The sequence below is a fragment of the Homo sapiens genome, chromosome 11 (genome assembly GCF_000001405.40).
Source record: "Homo sapiens chromosome 11, GRCh38.p14 Primary Assembly".
NCBI lineage: Eukaryota > Metazoa > Chordata > Mammalia > Primates > Hominidae > Homo > Homo sapiens.
The window spans coordinates 96,443,070-96,467,737 of record NC_000011.10 but is presented as its reverse complement, the minus strand read 5'-3'; the positions used below and the strand labels follow the sequence as shown (position 1 = coordinate 96,467,737).

The following is a 24,668-nucleotide window of genomic DNA, read 5'->3' as shown; positions in this document are numbered from 1 at the left end:
CAAAGTCCTACTAAACAAAACCAATAACCTTACGGAATTGTCTTTCTATTTTCTAATTTCTAATGTTCTAACTTCCTGTGTGTTGAGGTTTCAACATCAGCAAGTGTTTGCTTCATTTTAATAAAGAAAAATACTTTTAATTTTATTTGGCATATAAGCTAAGGTTTTTTGGAATACTATAGCTTAAATGATTATTTTTTAAATAACTAATAAAATTTTTATGGGCACTACATCCCTTGAACAAAACTGCAAAGGAAATTTCAAACAAGATCTTGAGTCCTTCATCAGCGAGCTTGCCATGAAGGAAACATTCTAAAATCTCAGTGGCTTGTAGCAGCAAATATTTGTTTACTACTCACATGTCTGCATCTGTGGAATGGATGGGGTACTAGAGCTTTGCTCAACTCTGTACTACATTTCCTTTCATACCGGGACCTCAGGGAAAGATGCTTACTTTTGTGGCAGAGGCTAACAAGAAGCAATCACTTTTGAAGTTTCTGTGCAAATATAATGTTTGTCTCATTGGCTCACATACTGTTGGCCAAAAAAAAAAAAAAAAAAAAAAGTCACATGGAGTAGCCCAACATCCGTGAAGCAAGAAAATACATTTTTCCCATAGCAGGAGAGGGAAATATACATTTGCAAAGAATAATACAATCGGTCAAAGAACACCTTCTCTGGATATTCACTTTCCTTCCTTTCTCACTCAAAGTTACTCGCTCCCATTAAATATACCTTGAAAATTGCATCCGCTTACGGCATCAGGTGCAAAGTTGAAGATCTTGTGGTACTCTCTAAGTCAGGAATAAAATAACTCATACACACTCACATAAAATGGTGAAACAGGGACAGAACAACTACAATGAAACCTCCATTCATGAAGAGGAAGGCAGACAGACACTTAGCCATCAGTAATACACAGTAATTTTGAAATTCTGCTGAACAAGCATCATGAGGCCTCCTAACCTAGAGCAGGGAATATTTCTTGAGTAGCCTCTGTTCAGCTCTTGAGGAGGTAGAAGTGGAGATACCCTCAGTCCATCATTCTCTGTGTCTTGAATCCACCCTCTGGAACATCTTCTCTTTTTGGTTATTCTTGTTGGATGCACCTGAGGAGAGCATTGGAGACAATGCCATTCTAGGGGAAGGAGCAGCTTTCTCAGCCTGCCTCTTGCCCAAGAAAATTGGGGCACAAATCATCTCAAACAGTTACAGTCTCTTTGAATTGAAGATGACAGTGCTTTTGGCAGTACAACTCTTTCAAAGATATAGCTATTTATCTATGTGATTACATTTCTGTGTGCCAGTAGCTGCTACCACAATTATTTTGTAGATGTATGTTTTTCTTTAGACTTAATTAAAGATATTGTGTGCTTATCTAGTTATGGCAGAACTGTGCCCTTAGGATTTGTGGCCACACCCCTAATTTTAGCTGTACCTATGTCTTAATCAGTGTTTTTGGCTCAAAACATTTCTTAATTTTATTTTTTATCAATTGATGATTGAAAACAGTTTCACTTTTCAACTCTGAAATCCCAAAATTTGGGACTCTGTGTTTTCTATTTCACTCCTTCCTACAAACAGGCCAGTTATTTTCTGTATTTATTTCCTTTTAAAAATATCTTATCAAATGTAGCTAATAACCAACTCACACTAGAAATATTCCTTTTAAATACCCCGCCAGCCAAAGCTACAATTTCATGAGGTATACTCTCTGCCTCCAAACTTATCACCATTGCAGAAAAACTATATTACATCGATCACCACTTTTTTTCAATTTCCTTTACAGTTTTCTTACCACCTACTGCTTTATCCTGAAGCAATTGTGACACCATTTTTATTTTCATAAAGTAGTTCCCCACTCGTCATATCAATTTCTATATGAGTCAGTTTGCTGCACAAAAAGCAACCCTAAAACTCTAGTGGCTTACAACAGTAAACAGGTTTCTTGCCCAAGTAACATGCCAGCGAGTGTCACTTGGCTCTGAAAACCTTGGCTCTGTTCCATAGAGCTTCACATTCAGGGACCCAGGCTGACAGGCAGCCACTCATGCATTCTCATAACACATGCATTCTCATGGCAAAAGGGAAAGGCAAGAGGCTAATGCCTTTATTCTTAAATCATATTTAAGGTCTTTCCTTGAAATTGGCATCGTTATTCTTCTCACATTCCATTGACCAAGCTCAGCATGATGGCATGGGTAATTTTCCTCCCATTGGGAAAAAGGTGGAGTAAATATTTGCAAATAATAATACAACCTGACCACATGCTGTACTGAAAGACCTGAGTAATAAAATTTTAGAGTTGGAGATATACTACGCAACACCAGAAAACTGGTGCAATTAGAAGGATTTTCACGAGATTAATTATTTTTTTCATCATTCTGCAAAGAAACTATAAGAAACCAATGTAGCAGTTGATTTTATGCTGTGAAACATCACAAAGATGTCGTTCCAAAGTGATTAATATCCAGAATTGCTTCTATAAAAGAAAAACATAAAAAGAGAAGCATAAGTGTTCTTAAATTTTTACTTTGCTTTATAAAAATTAAAAATGTATGATAGTAAAGTACATTTTATGTATGGTTGCAAAAGCAATCTGAATTTGCTAAGTCCCTCTAGTTTACATTTGATGCAGTCAAGGACTTTTCGTCACAATCAGAAGAAGCATTAGAAAGAAAAAAATCTGTCCAGAATTATGGGGTGTTTCTAATTATTCCTAAATAATTCACAAATGTTAGTAAATGCAGAGATTCCGTTTGAATGGGAGCCCTGCTGAGCTAAAGGCCTCAGAAAGATAACAGGGTAATGAGTGCCCTCTAGTGGTAAATCAAAGCTTTTGACTTGTAAACAGAACAGAGAGAGAATGTCGTTTTCCTCATTTTGCTGCTTAAGCTGTACTCTGCGGACGAAGGGGAAAATGTTGAATCTCAACATTCTAAGACTCCTTTTTCCTGTGCCTGAAACTTGTTTATTTGATACTTAAAAGTATTAAGCAATTCAATTCTCCTCACGTAAGAATAATAGATGTTATATGTCTATTACTTTCTTATCCTAAAGCTGTCACAAGTATATATTCAATTTTATTTTTAAAAAGAAATAAAATTTTTACCCCGGGGATGTAGCTTGAAGAATAATTTGCAATTTAGATTTTGTTTGTATTGATTACAGGTCAGCACAATCACCAAGAAGAAATATCTAAGTAGTTTCCAACTCCTGATATTTCCAAAATGATTACAGATTTTATTATTCAAGGTCACAGTCACCTCATTTTACCAGTGTCAATGAAAACCTGATGTTATCTGTTAATTAAGAATCTCCATGGCGGCCGGGCGCTGTGGCTCACGCCTGTAATCCCAGCACTTTGGGGGACCGAGGCAGGCAGATCACCTGAGGTCAGGAGTGCACGACCAGCCTGGCCAACATGGTGAAACCCCGTCTCTACTAAAAATACAAAAAATTAGCTGGGCGTGGTGGCGGGTGCCTGTAATCCCAGCTACTTGGGAGGTTGAGGCAGGAGAATTGTTTGAACCTGGTAGATGGAGGTTGCAGTGAGCCGAGATCGCGCCATTGCACTCTAGCCTGGGGCAACAAGAGAGAAACTCGGTCTCAAAAAAAAAAAAAAGAATCACCATGGCAATGAAAATGGATATCTTAAGTGCTGCTGCTGCCGCCGCTACCACTGATGCCACTGCAATTTATGTGTGAGTTCCAAGTGCCCTCTACTGGGCAAAATACAGTGGGTGAACAAGCTGTCTGGATTCTAGTCTGGATCAGCCCTCTCCCCTTGGAGTTCCTAATCAAGCTGAAATACCATTTTAAAAATGTAAAAGCTCAACCTATGTAAAGACCATAGGATCAGACTTTATGCTAAAATCGTGGAAGGAAAAAATCATTAAAGCTTTATTGTATATGGATGAATAGTTTGCAAATACCATGCTTTTCCTTTTTACTCAAATCTCATTTCAAATACGATTGCCTCCATGAGAAATTAGAAGCTATTAGAAAACAAGTCATGGACAATATTTTAAAACCTGACTTTTCTTCTCGGCACTTAGATAAATTTCTTTTTCTTTTTCTTTTTTTTTTCTTTTTTCTTTCTTTCTTTTTTTTTTTTTTTTTTAACTTAACAGGCCTGGAATCCAACTTGTGCAGGTTTTCCACCCCCTGGGGAGATATAGAAAGTCTGCTGAAGTTCTCGCTAAGCTCCCAAAAAGGCAATGCCTCCCCTGTGTAGTTGAAAACGTTAACATTTGCAATTATCAGCTCAAGTTTTAGGATAGAGTAAAGTGATCTAGTCTTGGAGAGAAAGGGTAAGAGGGCTACTTTTTGGCTTCCAGGAGTTAGACAGTACTCTGGTAATGGCAGGAGCTATTATTAATCCTCTTGGTCAAACTTCCTTCTGTATGCCTGGGATCACGCCCTTATGAACCCCAGTCCACTTTGTTGGGTTTTTTTTCCCTCCTCCCATGATCTCTCTAAGCTATTAAAGCCCTAAATTCATTCGTTGGAGTTCTGGGGGGAAAAACGGTCCTTTTTTGTAAAATGAAGGAGAAAGACAATCTATAGTCCCTGAATTCAAGAGCAAAGCATCTTTTGTCTACAAACCCTTTTCTTCCGAGAATTGTATGTATTACCAAAGCATGAGATCATAGCCCAGCTCCTAGTAAGTCAAAAGAAATATATCTGCATAAATAGAAATTCAAATAAACTACTTCCAACAGGGTTTAAACTATTTGTTTAGCTTCTAAAATATTAACAAAATAATCTGAAATATGATGACTTCTGTACGTGTTGCCTTTCTGTAATAAAAGTGTTATGGGCTGAATCATGTTCCCTCAAAATTCATATGTTGAAGTCCTAATCCTCAGTACCTCAGAAGGTAATCCTATCTTTATAAAGGTCATAAAGTTGAAATAAGGTAATTAGGGTGGGACTTTATCCCATATGACAGGTATCCTTAAAAGAAAAGAAGATTTGGATACACACACACTCAGAGGGAGGAGCATGGGAAAACACACGAAGACAGCCACCTGCATGCCAAGAAAAGAGGTGTCAGAAGAAACTGACCGAGCTGATTACTTGATCTCAGACTTCTAGCTTCCAGCATTGCGAGAAAATACATTTCTGTCATTTAAACCACCTAATCTGTAGTACTTTATATGACATCTCCAGTAAACTAATACAAAAAGTGAGGTTGGCATTACTTCCATGGCTCTAAACTGTCAGGATAAATATGTCAGCATTTCTGTTAGCCTTTGCCTCAAGATTTTTGCCTCCAGGTGGATATCCAACTAATATAGCTCCAGGCATCATGTCTAAACTCAAGAAAGAAAGAGGGGAGAAAATACCCTTCTTTTTATCAAAAACTAATTATTTTTAAAGGATCCTTTCTGTTGCAAGTACCTGAAAACTCAAGACTCAAACTCAGAATTTATTAGCTCAAGAATTAGAAAATCCGGGGTTGCACCAACATTAGGCATGGCTAGACTCAGAGATCACATACATTATCTGGATTGAGATTCTCCATATCTTTTTATTTTTCTGTCTTTGTACTGCTTTACTTTTCTGCTCATGCTTATCACTAGAAATTCCAGGCTTTTTCCTCATGGCAACAAGATTCTGGCTGCTATAGCTTTAGCAACACAGTCTTTCAAGATCCAGTCTAGCAAAAATGAGTTCCTGTCTCCCAGAATCCCTACGTACAAACACACATATGATGCTTCTTTCTTGGGCACACCCTCATGGTGTAATTATGTAAAATGCCTCTTCATACTCTTTTATCTTAGCCTAAGCACTAGGAAGTCTGTATTTACGTAATAATGTTGATAATTATCAACATTGTAAAGAGTAAAGGGCTACTCTTTATTAAGCACTTTATTCCAAGCATGGTTCAGTATCTCCTTGAATCATCACACTATCTAATGTAACAAGAACAATTACCCCACTTCCAAAATATTACTGAATATTTTTTAAAACTTTTTAAGAAGTAACTAGTCATGAATAGGTCAAATAATTTGCCACATATCACTAAGATAGAAAATAGAGCCAGGAATTAAATATACTTTTGTCAGTGTCTAAAATCTTCAAACTCTTAACCACGATCTGAATCCACTTGATTCCATATTGTTTTTCAGAAAGGATGAAGCTTCTAGCTCTTTGTCTCCATTTCAAGAACTTCCCCTGCAATCACTTCTACCCAGTCAACCAATTCCCACTTACTCGGACTATGCCTATTATCAATTCTTCAATCATGAAAGGTTAATTTTTAACAAATAAATGCTCCCTTCTTCCCCAACCACTCTAATTTTAGGAAAGAAAGATTTCCGCTTATCCTAGTAATGAGAAGCATTTGAATTCTACATAGTCACTCAAACCCCTGCCCCTTTACAAGCTAACCCATCTTTTTAAAATTTCTCTGACTTTTTTATTATGCAGTTTTACTCTCTTTGAAGCATATTTAGAAGTCAGTCCTTGAAAAACACTGGCATGCAAAACAATTGAAAATAAATAGACAGCAATTATGCCAATAGATAAGGATAAAAATGAGGGTCCCATTTTACATTGCCTTCTTTTCAGCAAAGATCTATTTTCAGTGCAGAGGTCAGATGAATTCAATAGTATCTCTCTGCTGAAATCAGAAGCTAGCTGGCATCATCAGCACCAAGTAGAGCATGGAGCTGAGTGCACTTACAAAGCATGTTGGAAGATATGGACCCTGTCTCTTTAGAGATGACAAATCAAGAGGATACACAATCTTATTTGATGGGTGCTTTACTCAAGGCCACATCAGCTAGGAGATACAATTTGGAACTAAAATGATGTTAAAATATAATTTAGCCTCATCTGAAGGTTTGAAGGAGTCCATCTGTACCCCAATTACCCCCTCAAGCAGAGGTGCCCTTCCTCTAAGATCATTTATGTAAGTGTAACCCCCATTAGATTAAGTGGTCCATGAGGACAGTGGCTACATTGTATTTCTTGTTAAATGTGGCTGGCCTGTGGCTGCAGAGTAACCATCATACAGAGGATCTGTGTTAATCGGGATAGGCTAGGTCTTTTTATTGTAACAATAAACCTGGTAGGCTAAACACAAAAAGTAGTTTATTTCTGGCTCAGGTTACATGTCCCTTGTGGGTGAGCAAGAGGCTCTGCTCCACACAGTCACTCAGGATCTCAGGCTGACTGAGACTCCACAGTTAGCAGCCTTACCATCTGGAATAGGCAGCACTCTTATGGCTGCAGCCAGAAAACGGAAAACCACATGGGCTTTTCTATACTTCAGGCTGGAAGTGACACATGTCACTTCCAGAAAGTACTGCTCTTTAACCTGGGCCCCACACCTCAGGGGGATCTGGAATTTAGAGGGCCGTACCAGTGCCTGGGACTTAGCTAGGCCTGGCAGTGTAACACAGGAAGAGCACCCCAAGCCAAGACCAGGACCTACATGAGCTCTCACCCCCATTTTTACCCTTTAATATGCACTCTGACCCTCTATCCCATACATAGAGTTAACCAGAGTCCCAGAGCTCTAGGAAGCTCTGGGACTTGCACCTAGAGGGTCATCCTGGCACCACATGTCTGACTCTGGTTCTGGGGCTCGGGGGGATAGCCTAAAGGAGATTACTCCCAACAAGCAGTGTGATATTTCGTTTATGGAATTATACAAGACTGACTGCCAGAATGGTAACAACATGCTATTTTGGGTGATTCTCACTCACATTGGACACAAGACAAGCTCTGTGTTCTGAGCTACCATCTGTCCCCCACCATCTCTTGGGTTTAAGCCCTGTGTCTACCCCTGTGTCAGCTCTTACCCATCTGTGTTCAATTCACAACATCTCCGGTCTACAGCATCCAAGGGTGACAGAAGGCATTTTTTATTCTGTGTACCTCCCACTGCTGTCATGCAGTGCAATCATGTCACCCTTTTTGAAGGCTCTGCATCACATGAGAGAGAAAGTCTTGAAGAAAGGTGGAGATTGCCATTCTCCTTCAATGGATTTTTAGATCATTGCTGCTCAAAGTCAATAGGGTCTCCCAGTTGATGTCTTTTCTTGCTTCCAATTGTGCTGATATCATATTCTACCAGGTCTGTCTTAAGCCATGTCACATTAGGGACTAAACACCCCTTATGTGAATGGTACTGCACTTCTCACTCTACCTTTCCTGCCAGTGTCGGTGTGTGGAATTCAGGGATATAGTCAACAATGAAAGCAATAGTATTCTAAGAATGAAGTGATTATAGCCTAAGGAGTTTAAGAGAAACGTGGTTGGAAGATGTGCTATAATTCATTTAGACTACAAAAATCAGAACAGTACATTTAACATAACCAAAATTGAATTATCATTCACTCTTTCCTTCATACACTGGGTTAGACTTGCATGTGTGGTTATCATCAAAGAAGCACAGTAACAACTTTTGAGAGAATCATTCAAAGCCATTATTCAGGGTTGGTGGGATGGATAATGCAGCATCAGGAGTGATGCTGTAACCAGCATTGAACCCATGGAATTAGAAAACTGAAGAGGCATGAAGATCTACATTGTTTCAATACAAACAGCTTCCAATGGACCATGGCATTGTAAGTAATAATATTATTACCTTTTTCTCCCCAGTAGGAAATATAAAATTAGCCAAAAGTGGTGCATTTGCTAATAAAGAAGGCAAAAGATAGTTCCCCAACTTGAATCCAAAGAGATGGTGCCTGAACACTACAAAAAAATCTTCACTTGCTCTGACTTGACCAGCAATCAGGTACCTAAGTACCTCTTCTCTAATTGCTATTCTAAATCTTCGCTGATAAATAACTATAACTTACATGAGCCCATGAATTATATATACATTTTTAGATCAAATTGTTTATATAGAGCAAAATAGGTCCAGGGCACCTCACGCTTTGGGATGGCTCTGCTTCCTTTCACATTGGCCAGAACTAATCTCATGGCACTACCCAGTTTCAAGGTGGCTAATAAGTCTATTCTTCTGAGTGCTCAAAAGGAGAAGAGAACCAGATATTGGTGGTCATTTGTAATGTTTGCTAATGTTTGCCAACCACAAGGATGGAACTGGGTCTGTGGCTTCTGACAGTAGCCACATTTTAGCAACTATAAGTTGCTCTCTCTCTGGGTTGCAATTCCCTCCACTTATCCCACAACTATCTCCAAAGCCTTGTGAAATGGCTTTAAATCCTTGCCTTAGTTTTGCTATAAAGAACTAAGGATTTATCTCTCTCTCTCTCTCATCCTTCACCTCCCCCATACCACAGTCTATCATAGTGATAAGAGCATAAATACGGCATAAGGGAGAGACCCCAAGACTGCAGGAAGCAATTAGCAGAAACATGAGCTATAGCCTTAGACAGCCTAGAGATCAGGCTTTCAAAGCCAGGCAACCTAGGAGACAAAGGAATGATAGAACTGATAGAGAAACTTCTGAAGAATTTCCTACAAACACTAGAAGAGAGAAAAGAACCTCTAAGAGAGCTCTGAGGTCCTGATAATCTGAGGAGTAGGACCAGAAGCAATTATAAATTGGGGTACACTTGCAACAAAGTATCTGAAATTTGTTTTTGAATGCCTGTCTCCTCTCCAGAAGCCTACTCGTGGCTTAGTTCCTCAAAGCTGGATGTGACAGTTAGACTCCTGTATAAGGTCATTCTTGCGTTGCTATGAAGAAATACCTGAGACTGGGTAATTTGTAAGAGAAGAGGTTTAATTGGCTCATGGCTCTGCAGGCTGTACAGGCAGCATAATGCAGCATCTGCTTCTGTGGAGGCCTAATTAGGCTTACGATCATGGTGGAAGACGAAGAGAGAGCAGGCCCTCACATGGCGAAAGCAGGGGCAAGAGAGAGAGTGGGGTGGGGTTGGGGAGATGCCACACTTTACAACAACCAAATATCATGAGAACGAATTCACTATCACGAGGACAGCACCAAGCCATGAGGGATCGGTTCCCATGACCCAAACATCTCCCACCAGGCCCCACCTCCAACATTTGGGATTACATTTCAACATGAGGTTTGGGTGGGGACAAATATCCAAACTATGTCATTCTGCCCTGGGCCTCCACAAATCTCACATTCTTCTTAGGTTGCAAAATACAATTATGCCTTCCCTATAGCCCCTCAAATGTCTCAACTTGTTTCAGCATCACCCAAAAGTCCCAAGTCCAAAGTCTCATCTGAAAATGAGTTCCTTCCACCTATGAACCTGTAAAATCAAATCAAGTGATTTACTTCCAAGAGGCAATGAGGGGTATAGGCATTGGGTAAACATCCCCATTCTAAAAGGGAGAAATCCACAACCCATTTGGATTCTTCATCTGAAAATGAGCTTTGCTTTTATACCACATGGCCAGGCTACAATTTTTTAAAACTTTTACACTCTGCTTCACCTTTAAATGTAAATTCCAACTTTAAGTCATTTTTGCCACATCTAAGCATAAGTTGTTAGAAGCAGCCGCAGGTTGTTAGAAGCACCTCTTGAATGCTTTGCTTCTTAGAAATTTCTATCACCAGCTACCCTAAATCATTGCTCTTTAGTTCAAACTTCCACAGATCCCTAGGGCATGGACACAATGCAGCCAAGTTCTTCGCTAAGGCATAAAAACATCATTGACCTTTGCACTAGCTCCCAGTAAGCTCCTCATTTCCATCTGAAACCCCAGCTTGGCTTTTGCTGTCCATATCAGCATTTTGGTCACAACCATTTAACCAGGAAATTCCAAACTTTGCCTCGTATTCCTGTCCTTTTCTGAGTCCTCTAAACACTTCACATCTCTTCCTATTACCCAGTTCCAAAGTTGCTTTAACATTTTCAGGTATCTTTATAGCAATGCCCACTTCTTGGTACCAATTTTCTGTATTGGGCAATTCTTGCATTGCTATACAGAAATACCAGAGACTGGGTAATTTATAAGAAAAGCAGTTTAAATGGCTCATGGTTCTGCAGGCTGTACAGGAAGCACAGCTCCAGCATCTGCTTCTGGGGAGGCCTCAGGAAGCCCACAATCATGGCAGAAGGCTGTAAACCAAAAGTATCTGAGACAGGTCTCAACCAATTTAGAAGTTTATTTTGCAAGGTTAAGAACATGCCTATGACATAGCCTCAGGAGGCCCTTGAGAATATGTGCCCAAGGTGGTTGGGTTACAGCTTGGTTTTATATACTTTAGGGAGACATAAGTCATCATTCAATACATGTAAGATATGCATTGCTTTGGTCTAGAAAGGCAGGAAAACTCAAACTGGGGGACTTCTAGGTCACAGGTGGATTTGAAGATTTTCTAATTGGCAGTTGGTTGAAAGAATATACCTAAAGACCTAGAATCAATAGAAGGGAGTGTCTGGGTTAAGATAAGGGGTTGCAGAGACCAGGGTTTTTATTATGCAGATGAATCCACCAGGTAGCAGGCTTCAGAGAATACAGATTGTCTTAAGGTCTCTGTTTTAATGTTAATGCCAGTCAGTTGTGCCTGAATTCCAAAGGAAGGAGGCCATAATGAGGCATGTCCAGCCACCTATTCCCATCTTGGCCTGAACTCATGTTTCAGGTTAACTTTGGAATGCTCTTGGCTCAGAGGAAGGGTCTATTCAGTTGATTGAGGGGGCTTAGAATTTTGTTTTTGGCTTATAAGGTGAAGAGGGAGCAGGCATCTTACATGGCGGAAGCAGAAGCAAGAAAGAGAGTAGGGTGGAAGATCTGCCACACTTTATAACAACCAGATCTCATGAGAACTCACTCACTATCATGAGGATAACACCAAGCCATGAGGAATCCACCTCCAGGACCCAAATACCTCCCACCAGGCCCTACCTCCAACACTGGGAATTACATTTCCATATGAGATTTGGATGGGGACAAATACCCAAACTATATCAACTGACTTTCACCTTTATAAAGTTAATTCTAGCAGAGTGATACGGGGCACCATAAATGAGAAAGTGTGTTTATTTCCATGCTATTTATATGTTTTGGAAGACATTTTAAAGTACAGAATGGTCTTTGAATGGTGATCACTAGAAACAGTTGACAGCAAGTGGACAAGATATTGAGGTGGTAGACTTCTTGATATTCCTCCAACCTCACTATTTGCAGTTCTTCATCATCATCATAGTACTGATATATCCAGTCATCCTGAAATAATTTGCAGCTTAGGTATTGATCCTGGCCCATATAGCCCAGTCTGTTCTGCTTCCCTCACACTTTTGGGTTAGGTTCTAATATAAATTTTTTAATGCTCTAGAAGCACAGAGGGACATGTCTCAATGGCACTGATGGCTTGGAGAAATTCAGGCAACCACAATAATTATAATGGAAAGTAAACCTTTGAGTGGAGAGGGGAAGGGCAATGAGGCAGTGGGCAGAGGGCACGAGACCAAGGGAACTTGCGTACAGATGCAAAGCTGCTGGAACAAGTTGTACCTTAAAGATTATTTTCATGTGTGAAAAGAAAATAGAAGCTTGCATATTTAAGAGGAAGAGATTTCAATGTGTAAAAGTGAAATGTATACAACAAGAGTACAAGAATTAAATGAGGAAGGGCACATTAAATATGTGGCAATGCTTGAAGCTTTAAAATTTGCTATTTACAAAGACGTGGAATCAACCTAGGTGTCTATCAAGGGTGGATTGGATAAAGAAAATGTGGTACATATACATCATGGAATACTATGAAGCCATAAAAAAGAACAAAATCATGTCCTTTGCAGCAACACAGAAGCAGCTGAGCCAATACCCTAAGAGAATACATGCAGGAACAGAAAACCAAATACCACATGTTCTCACTTATAAGTAGCAATTCCCTCCACTGTCTCCAGTGGAGTACATGTGGACATAATGATGGGAACAATAAACACTGGGGACTATGACAAGGGGAGGCAGGGAGGCAAGGGTTGAAAAACTATTAATTCCCATGCTCACTACCTGGGTGATGAGATTAATCATATGCTAAACCTCAGCATCACACAATATATCCATGTAAAAAACCTTCACATGTACCTCTTGAATCTAACATAAAAGTTGAATTTTGTTTTAATTTGCTATTTAGCTCCTAGTTCAAATCCTGTGACCAGCCAGAATGCAAGTATCCCTCTAGTACACAATACCAATTTTTTAGAAAAATTGTGCTTCACTATAGCAAAATCAACATGTGTGATATGGTTTGGCAGTGTCACCACCCAAATCTCATCTCGAATTGTAGCTCCCATAATTCCCATGTGTCATAATTCCCATGTGCCAGGGACCTGGTGGGAGGTAATTAAATCATGGGGGTGAGTCTTTTCCATGCTGTTCCCATAATAGTGAATAAGTCTCATGAAATCTTATGGTTTTAAAAAAGGGGAGTTCTCCTACATAAGCTCTCTTCTGCCTGCTGCCATGTAAGATACAACTTTGCTCCTCATTTGCCTTCCACCATGATTGTGAGGCATCCCCAGACAAACTGAACTGTGAGCCACTTAAATCTCTTTCCTTTATAAATTACTCAGTCTCTGGTATGCCTTTATTAGTAGCAAGAGAACAGACTAATAGAGTGTGCAATCAATTTTCATGTTTCATGTCAGGTATAGTGTACAACAGGAGAAGGTCCTGAGACCAGTGCAACAGAGTTACTAGAGAATGAAAGAAGGTCATTGAAAGCAGCAGGTCAAGTATTTATTTATTTACTCAATAAATATTTATGAAACATCTACTATGCAGGCAGTATGCTGGGTGGGGAACATGTAGAAAAAAATAACACATAGTATCTCCATTAAGAAGCTTACCATCTGGAGTGGGGAGCCTGGGCAAGAAATACACAGATAAACTCTAATTATAATAGAATGTAACAAAATCACAGAACGCTATGAGATTAAGCAAGAGGGGAACTTAGTATAATTTTATGGGTTCACAAAACAATCCCCAGCAGTAGTAACTGGACTGAGAAAGGAAAGAAATGTAGGGCTTAACTTATTAAATGTGTAGAACTTGATCCAAGCAGAGGGAAAACCATGTGCAAAGCACAGAGACAATCAAGTACTTAGTGTGTTTGCAAAATGAATCTGTGTGTGTATAGAAGAGTGTGAGGAGGAGAATGCATAAAATAAATGTAGTCGTAAGCAGAGGTAAGATTATATAAAGGACATTGGAAGATATAAATTGGAATTTATAATGAGAGCAATGAGGAACCATAAAGAAGTATTGACCAACCTTAAGCAAAAAATTTATTCTGCTTTTGTCCAGAAATATAGTAGCACTTAGCACAGTTCATGGGATGAAGTCTCCACCTAAACAGATGGATAACACCTCCCCCATCACTCAAAATTTTGATTCTGCCAACAGCTCTTACCCAAAATTATTTGATAAAATTTTGTCTGTGAAAAGTAAATGACTTAGTTAATTTGTGCTCTTACCTATACAGCATTTCTCATCAATCTCCAAATACTGTCTTAGGGGAAATGTGGCTGCAGTAACTTCATCAGAATACCACAGACAAAATTACAGCAGTCCCTGCTTACCCATGGAGGATATATTCCAAGATGCCCAGTGGATGCCTGAAACCACAAATAGTGCCAAACCCTATATATATATACACACTTTTGTCCTATACATGCATACTATGATAGTGTTTAATTCATAAATTAGGCATAGTAAGAGATTATCAAAAATAACTAATAATAAAATACAACAATTTTAAAAATATACTGTTATAAAAGTTATGTAAATGTGCTCTCTCTCTCAACCTGACCCTAAGCCCCTCTCTCTCTCAATGTCTTACTATAATATACTCAGCCATTTTCAGACCTCAGTTGACCATGGGTAACTGAAATCTCAGAAAGTGAAACTGCCGTAAAGGGGACTACTATATATTCTGAACAGTAGACAGTCAACCCTAGTTTACAGCAGAAGATCATTGACTATCAGTTCTCCTCATTAAAAACACTAGAAAAATCTAGGACCAAGGCAAGCTACATTTGTTAGACTTACTGCAGTAAAGGAGAACATCACCTTGAGAGATCTTTAATAATGTCTCAAAATAGAAAATTAGGGCAGGGTATTTACAGAGTTTTAGGGTCTTGGTTGAGTGTTTTTCAGGTGAATCTTGCAATTGGAAAACTGGCTGAGATTGGGCAGAGGTTATTTTGTTTTGTATTTTGTTTTGTTTTGTTTTGTTTCAATAGCTTTGGAGTGGTAAGCACAGTGAGGCAGGGGTCTTGAAGCAAATTTTGGTAAATGAATAAACTTTTAGTCCTCATAAGTAAACTGTTTCATTGACTTGGTCTTTTCTTCCTTGAGAAGGCCTTTCTTGAAAGAAACAAAATTATGTTTACCTGGTCCTATGTTTACAGTTTCATATAGATGTATATGAATTTAATAGAGTTTCAATAACTAATAGATGTAATAAACAAGTGAAATATACAGTGTGTAGAGTCAAGGAAGAAAGTCTATCCCCAGTATTATGCAAGGGACAAGGAATATTGTTGATTTCAGTTCTCAGTAGCCACATAATTTCTTTTGACCATAGTCCCGTTTAAGCAATATAATCCCAGGTAATAAATGAAGAGAAGGAACATTCATGCAAGTTAACATGTGTAACATCCATCCTGTCATCATTAGCTACCATGAATAATTGAAAATTAAATACAGATAAATTTAAGAGGAAGGATAAAGGAGGGAATAACATAAAATGACCAACCTTTTAGTAAAGTCCAATATGTTACAAATATTCAGCTGGACACAGATTATGATGAGGATTAAATGAGAAAAGATAGGTGAATTCTATCATTACTCATCAGTGAAATTCCTAAGACATGAAAATAATCACAACACTCCACTTTTTACAAGCATATTATGTCTCTTCCTCCAAATCCCTAAAATATAACACAAGATCATTCCTGGTCTGGCCTCTCAGTCCATTATCTTTAGTACTCTACTCTCAGAAAACGTCATTCTACATGAAGTTCCCCCAAAATACATGTTGTTTTTTTTTTCAGAATTTTGAACACTGATGTGCTGTTCCTTCTGCCTACAGTGCTTCACCAATATTCCAGTCTTTCCCCACCCACCTGGATAGTTTCCATATATCTTTCAACAGTCAACTTAAGTATTGTGTCTTTAAGAAAACTTCTATGCTACCCCCCAATTATGTTGAGTTAAATGTTATTTTGCTTTGTTCCTGTAGCACCCCATGAATACCTGTCTCCCATAGCCAACTTCACACTGTGTTATAATTGTTATCAAACTTGCCTGCCTCTCCCTGCTACTCATCTGTGAGCTTCCCAAAGCCAAGGACTATGTTTTGTTCATCCTGATATTCCCCAGGGCTGTGCAGTATGACTGATATGCATTTGTACTAAACTATCTTTATTGAATATAATTGGAGAGTTTAAATCTCCTACATGAAAAGATATTGACTAGAATGGGTTTAAGTGAATTTTCATACTGTAGTAAATATATTTTTTATGTCTGTGTTTTATACTTTGAAAATTTTATTTCTGAAAAATATTTTATGGAACATTCTGAATTGTGATAAACCAAATGGAAAAATATTGACTCTTGAGAAAACTAAGTTTATTCCTTATGCATATAATGATTTAGCCTGTAGGGCTCTTTGTCAACCTGGAACAGTCAATTCTAATTAGGGTAAATTCACGTATCTACCTACTCAAATGGAAATAACAATATCTAATTTGGAAAATAAATCTCTCAAGCTGCAGGAAATTTTATCAGTGCTAAACAATCAATATGCTGATAGTAAAAATAAAAACCACACATGGAGAATCACAACCCATACCTCAAGTAAAGGACAATCATTTGATAGGATTGCCCAGAGATTAATTATAAAAGAGATTATATAAATATCTCAGTAGTATTTTAGAGAATTTAGTCCACTATATATAACTAAACAATTACTTTCAATTCTACTAATTGTATATAAATTTTTTAAAATGATAACAAACACGCAACTATAATGATGAAACAACCAAAGTTTTAATATGCAGTGATGTTAGGTTTGCCTTTAAAAACTGTAAGATCTAGTGGAAATAAGCACTTCATAGCTGAAGATAATGAAAAGCCATTGTTCTTCCCTCTGCTTTGGGCTCTAGTGCCCTTTCTGTTTAAGCTCAGTTTTGTCTGGCTCATCAACAACATGTGAGCAGAGAAGAAAGTGTAGCACGTATCTGTGCCCTCCTTTAACATCTGGTGTCTAGAATGAGTCTGAGTGAGGGTGAGTTGATCTCCCTTCGTGCTGACCATATGCCCAGTCCATTGCTGTGTCTTCCACCTTAGATTTTGAGCAGCAGTCCCATTTTCTGCTGTAACAAGAGTCTTTCCTGGAATCCCAGTCCAATTGTAGGATTCCTTGCAATGCACGGGGCTTGACAAGACCCTATATCCAGGATTTGAAATCTGCCCAGTGTGACCCAAACACTGACTATGAACCGAAGGATGACCTAAAACTCCACTCTGTGAAAGACTATTGGATACTATCTTATTCAGTGTGGGCTGCCCTAACAAAATACCCTAGAGTAGGTAGCTTAAAACAACAAAAATTTATTTCTCACAATTCTGGAAGCTGAGAAGTTTAAGGTCAAGGTACTGGCCCATTTGGTTTCTGGTGAGGGCTCTCATCTTAGTTTGGTGGCAGCTGCCATTTTTGCTGTGTCCTCACAGGGCACAGAGGGAAAGAGCAGGCTTTCTGGTGTCTCTTGTTTTCATACAGGGTCACACTCTGTCACCCAGACTGGAGTGCAGTGGCGCAATCTCAGCTCGCTGTAGACTCAACCTCCTGGGCTCAAGCGATTCTCCCACCTCAGCCTTCTGAGTAAGTAGAACTACAGGCGCATGCCACCATTCCTGGCTTATTTTTGCATTTTTTGTAGAGTTGGGGTTTTGCCATGTTGCCCAGGCTTGTCATGAACTCCTGAGCTCAAGTGATCTGCCTGCCTCAGCCTCCCAAAGTGCTGGGACTACAGGTGTGAGCCAACACACCTGAACAGTGTCTCTTCTTGTAATCACACTAGCCTCATCAGATCAGAGACCCAGCTTTATGACCTCACACAATCTCAGTCACCTCCTTACAGGCCCTGTCTCCAAATACAGTCATATTGGAGGCTAGGGCTTCAACATATGAATTTGTGGGAGGGGGGACACAATTCAGCCCATAGCAGATGCAATCTTTAATATAAATCAAGCATAAATCCTCCATGTACATTCAAGAACAACAATAATTGCTGCAACATCTACTATTTATTAAACACTGACTTTGGCCAAATTATTTTTAATTGTTAGGATATTTCTAGAGCAGATGTTACTTTTCCACACTTTGAAGTAGGGGAAACTGAAGGCTTGAGGTGGAAAACACCCTACCCAAGGCCACATAGCTACAAAATGATAGAATTGGAACTCAAATCCATGTTTGTAGGAATTGAAAACCCAAGTAAGATCCTTCTAAGATGCCCTTTTACATCGAAACTATAATTCAGATGACTGACCAATCCTCAGTCCTAGTCTCTTTTCCTTCTGGAACTGCCAGCATCGTGAGATTATAGTTTGCCTTATAGACATACCTGAATATTGACTATTATGGAGCTAACAATGAGTCAATCACAATATATTTATTTAACTTGGATGATCGGGTGCTGGGTAGAGCACTAGATTACTACTTATATATATCTACATATGCCTGAAAAGATGAACATAAAACCAACAGGCTCAGATGGTTCTTTGTTTATTCTAATCACATTTTGCAGGGCTCTGCATCTTTAATTCATCCTTTTATTTACAGTTCCATATTGCTCTTTGTGATATACCAGCTTTTTAACTGACCCCACATTTTTCTTTCTCTTTGTCTTCCCCAGCAAAACATCCATTCATTCTTTAATTCAACAAATATTTAATGATCCCTGCCCATATGAAACTTATATCTTAGCATAGTGAAACAGAAAATAACTAATAGATGTAATAAATAAGTAAAATATACAGTGTGTACAAATTATGACAAGGACTAAGGAAAAAGAAAAGGTACAGGAGATGAGGAGTGTGAGAGGAGAGGGACAGTGTGAATCTCTTTGATAGATTGATATTTGAACAAAGATATAAGGAGGTGATACATCTGACGGAAGAGCATTCTAGACACAGGACACAATGTGCACAAAGACTTTGAGGTGAAAACAGGCCTGGCACGTTTGAGGAACAGCAAAGAGAATAGCATTGCAAGAACTGAGTGAGCAGGAGCCAAGCCAGAGAGCTAATGGGATCACCAGGTACTGAAGGGCTTATAGGCCATTTTAAGGGCTTCTGTTTTTGCACTGAGTGAAATGGGAAGTCACTGCAGGACTCTGAGCAGAGGAGTGAGAAAGACCAGACTCATGTTTTTAAAGAATCAGCCTAGCTGCCGTATATAGGACAGACTGCAGGGTAATGGGGAAAGAAGCCAGAAGGCGAGGCAGGAAGCTATTACAATAATTCAGGATAACAGAAGCTTGATTGACCAAAGGAAGGGGTACTGGTGATGGGGATAAGTGGTTAGATACTAGATATATTTAGAAATTAAGAGAAGTCCGGTCTACTAACCCACCTCTGCCTCAGTTCTTGAGCCAGGGGACGAGAAGTGCATCGGCAAGCTTAGCCTTCAATGGAGAAGGCTGCGGTGCTTTAAATAACATCTTACACGCATAAGCCGTTATTACCTACCAGTAACACTCAGAGTGCATCTTGTAAGACAGGAAATCAAAGCACAGAAATATTAAATGACTTTGGCGAGTAAGTAAAAGAGTTGGGATTATTCTATCTGGCATAGCCAAAGTTGAACTCTGCATGCAGCCTTCATTAAGGCACACATTGCGGACTTGAGATCTGATGAATCAGGGACAAATAGCTACGGCTGGTGCAGCAAGGGTGAACCAGGCTGACCCCTTAAGTGCAGCAGTCCCCAACTCACCACTGAGGCAGAAACACAATAATAAAGCAATGACTGCTAATGAGCTTAATTCTGAAATGAATGAATCTCTGGGCACAAAGTGATTCTATACTGTAATGACCCCTAACTAGAAATACGAAAGTTTTACACACTCCCCTGTGTGCTTAAACTGTGTATGGCACATGATTTAACACTTTCTTAATGACTGGAGACAACGCTATGAACATTCACTGGGGCCCTGGGATCCAAGGAGCAGAGCCACTTAGCTTTAGGGGAGGTTTTGGTGAGGTTCCTTTTTTAAAGAGTATATTGAAGTTTGAAATGAGAAAAAGGGATTAAGTAGCTGGCAGAACATGAGGAGTGTTTTTGCAGCTTTGCCTCGGGAGAGAAAAAGAGAGTCGATTCCGAGTACAGCTGGGCCACTGGGACTGCATTCCTGCCTGTGAGGAGGACAGCCTGTCAATGAGCCAGAAGGGGCTAACAGAGGTAATGCTTCCTTATGATGGGCATTTTCCTGGGGGGAGCCAAAACCATATGTGAGGTTAAAAAAACAAATAAGGGCCCTCCTCTGCTTATAGAATGTGCTTATAGGTTGTACTTACAGGTTCTCAAGTTTTGCTATCATAAACACCCAAAGTACACCACGCCGGCAAGCTGAAGGCTGACAGGATAGAAAACTTGCACAAGACAGTTAACATTGTAGCGATCATCTTGCCAAACAGAGGGCAGCAATGCTTGTGTCTTGGTCGGAAAGGAGTTGGAGTGAAGTCACACAGGCAAGTGTCATTACTTGGTGTTGGGGTTTGACAGCCTGAGAGACCTCGGCAACATTGGAATTTGAAACAGAGGGCTTTAACTCCCAGTTAGAACAGTTTAAAGTCAGCTGGCCATGGTGGTTCACACCTGTAATCCCAGCATTTTGGGAGGCTGAGGCGGGTGGATCACCTGAGGTCAGGGGTTCGAGACCAGCCTAGCCAACATGGTGAAACTCTGTTTCTACTAAAAATACAAAAATTAGCCAGGCATGGTGGTGCACACCTGTAATCCCAGCTATTCTGGAGGCTGTGACAGGAGAATCACTTGAACCTGGGAGGCGGAGGCTGCAGCGAGCCGAGATCACATCACTGCAGTCCAGCCTGGGTGACAGAGTGAGAATTTCTCAAAAAAAATAAATAAATAAATAAAAAATAAGTAAAAAATAGTTTCAGGTCTTCCAAATGACCTCTCATTTGGATTCAGAATCCTATTATTTTTAAATGAATTTTTTTAATTCAATCATGATACATTTCGCTGCTGTAATAGGCAAAATTCTAAGACATTCTAAGACAGCTCCCAAGATTCTCACCCCTGGTGCATACAAACTTTCTCCCAGTTATTCTATTTGATCAAACATTAATCTAGGTGATTATTAATCTATAAAGGATTATACATATATAATTAAGGTCCCAAATTAGTTGCCATTAAGACAGAGAGATTCCCCTCAGTTGGACCTGACTTCATCAGGTGAAAACCTCAAGAGTAGAAGAGATTCAAAGTATGAGGGGAGCTCATTAAGAGAAAGATTCTCCGTTGCTCTCTCTGAAGATAGAAGGGGCCATGTAGCAAGGAATGTGGCTGGGATTAGGATCTGAGAGTAGTTCCCAGCTGACAGCCAGGAGACAAATTGGGACCTCAGTCGTACAACCACAAACAACTGAATTCTTCCAACAACCTGAATAAACTTGGAAGTGGAGGTTCCCGAGAACCTCTAGAAAGTAACACAGCACAGCCAACACTCTGATTTCAACCTGTGAGAACCAGAACAAAGAACACAACAATGCCATGCCTGGAATTTGTATACAGAAGTAAACTAAAAAATGAGTATTGTTTTAAGCTACTGAGTCTATGGCAATTTATTAGAAATCAATAGAAAATGAATACAATTGCTAAAAGCACATTTTGGAAAATAAATCACTAGTAGAACTATATACTTAATAAGATGATTGATATTTCTAAAGGAAGCTTTCCTTTACCTGGACACTTTCCTTCATTTGTGTCATACATCAGAAGATTATATTTTATATATTGGAGTTTCTTAAAGCAAGCTATATTTTTCTTACTTATGTTGCTACTATATGGTAAGCCTAAGACCTAATTTTTGCTGCAACATTTAGCCAAAATCAACTAGCAACAAAAAAAGAATTCGAAAAATTATTTTAGTAAATATGTTATAATTCAGAAACAATTTGTGAATAATTTAGTTTACCCCTTTTTTTTTGAGACAGAGTTTTGCTCTGCCGCCCAGGCTGGAGTGCAGTGGCGTGATCTCGGCTCACTGCAAGCTCCGCCTGGGCTACAAAGCGAGACTTTGTCTCACACACACACACACACAAAAAGTTTATCTCTAATTGATGTCTCTGATTTAAACTATTGCCTCCATTTTCTTCTTTCCTAATGAAGGCAGTTTACACCATTTAAATTTTTAAAATAATAAAAATAATTTTTAAATATTATGAATAATTTTTATGTTTATATATAAAATCCATTCATACAATTACCAGAAATGAAATATATTAGAAAGCCTTTTCAGAACTCAAAGGAAACAGGATATATAAAAATATAACAGCATTGTTCATAAAGGTAAAAGAAATCCCATCTAATTACAAAATTTGTCAGAATCAAGGACTTTTTAAAACTATAAATAAACATTTCAATTCTGAAATGTTGGCTTTCACAGCACAAATAGCTAAAACAATGTGGTTATACTCAAAATATTAAATATACTCAAGTTTTTAATTAAAGTTCTTACTGACAGGGATTTCAAAATGGTAAAAGGAAAAAAACCCTCTCAAATCTAAAAATGTATATATAAATGCATTTGCTAAGTGAAATATGTATGTCTCCCCTCCTATCCATTGTTTTAAAGGCAGGGATGAAAACAGAAGTATTAAACTCAGGCCTAGAGCTATGGGGAGAAGCCTGACTACTGTTGCTTAGAGATAGAAACTTCAAAGGCAAGGGTCCAGATTCCGTGATCATAATAAGATTTCCGACATTTCTTACAAGCTAATGAGGCACCTCCAGATCAAACCCACCAGCAACATGGTAGTATGTTAAAGAAGTTTAATTGCCAGAGAAAATTCAAACCTGGTCAAGAAGGTCCTGTGATTGCTCAGCTCCTAAAGCAATTCCTAGACTAATATAAACTTGCCAACAGACCTCATTCAGCTAAAGCAGTGAAGCCCTCATGTAATTAGGTACAACTCTTGACTACAAATGACAGTATACTGCTTAAGCAATAAGAGAATATTTTGAACTCATTCAGCTGAAAATTACATAAGAAACACTGAATTGTGACCCAGCTGGATGAAATGCACAAATGCTGGCATTGAAGCTCTCTCACTCTCTCCACGTAGCAGGCACAGGGTCTCCAGGGCCCCAAGACTCACAACCCACCAACCTTACAGCTGCAGTCATAAGAGAACATATTCTCCAAAAACCCCTGAAAAGGAGTTCTGAGGAGGAGTCTGACCCTCTGGTTTAGGTTCATGTGCCCATCCCTGTAGCTGGGAGAAGAAAGAGAAGAATGGGAGGTTTGGTAGGCAGAAGGGGTGTAGCTATGTCTCAAATATATGGAATGTGTTTCCTTTAGAGAGGCGAGATTTTGTGATCAGGAGAGGACTGTATGCTGGGAGACAAAATAAATAGAGGTCTTCAACACTTCAGAAGGTGAATCCTCATTGATGCCACTCTTGGGAATTGCCACTGGAAATCACAGACCAGGAAGATACTCCTGGCAAGCAGAACCTGAACAAAAATCAAGTCTATCCTAATACAGGAAATCAGACCACTACTAGGGCAAAGAGATCTTTGACATACCTATCTAGCAAATGTAATACAACCTGCAGGAGAGCAACTTCACTGTATTCATTCCCTTCTATAAAACAGAAAAAAAAATCATAGTTAAAAATGAGTGAGGGCAAATTCTGCAATATCATAGGTAAGTTTATAAGCAACTGGATTTATTGGGAAAACATACAAATCAAGGATTAAATTTAAGAGGCATATAGTCTGCATTGTCTTATTATCACAAAGAGAGGTCTAAAAATCAGTTCAGCATACTGATGGACACACCCCAGGTCCCTGCCCCCAGGAGAGGGATCCTGACTCTCCACTGTCATAACATGCAATCATGATAAATTTCAGATATGGGGTATAAATACAAAGGATGTAGACACCAAGTTGTCTGAGTATAAATGCCAACATGGCTAGGAGCCGTCTGAGAATGCTAGCTGCCATCACCTGATAATTTCTGAGTGGTGGGATGCTGCTGCTGCTGCCATTCCTGCTGCTGGAAAGGGGTTCCTGTTACAGTGGATAATTGGGTTCAGGCATAGCCCTTCCCTCTGGGAGAGGGCCAGCCTCTGCATCTAACTTGCTGAATAACCGTTTTCCTTCCAACATTCAATTTGGCATCTAGCCTTCAGTTGCAGGGTCAAGAAGAGCCACATTCAAACCTGACTATATGAAATAATTATCACCCAGAGATATTGGACTTGGAATAGAATAGAGAAACCAAATGCTATTTCTACGCCATCTCCATTTAGAGAGAGTGTAAGTAGGGGCTTTTGCTCTTATTCTTGGTGTTGAATGTGGGATCATTTGTAATGTTACTTGGGATGTTATTAGAACTGAGACGGAAATGCAGGTTTGCTGTAGGGGGGTCACAAACAGTGATATGCTGGGCAGCCCAGGCATAGCAAATTGTGGGCAGTGGCAGCTATTG

The 24,668-nt window shown here is 39.2% G+C and overlaps 1 long non-coding RNA gene across 1 annotated transcript in view; it reads left to right on the top strand.

Annotated features, from left to right (window-relative positions):
• JRKL-AS1 (JRKL antisense RNA 1) overlaps positions 1–24,457 on the top strand; it is a 63,596-nt gene extending 39,139 nt beyond the window's left edge. Inside the window, exons 2-5 of the long non-coding RNA NR_047481.2 lie at positions 17,705–17,806; positions 20,276–20,389; positions 20,495–20,683; positions 24,363–24,457. This is a non-coding gene — a long non-coding RNA (JRKL antisense RNA 1). The remainder of the gene's footprint in view (positions 1–17,704; positions 17,807–20,275; positions 20,390–20,494; positions 20,684–24,362) is intronic.
• Positions 24,458–24,668: the final 211 nt, after the last annotated feature.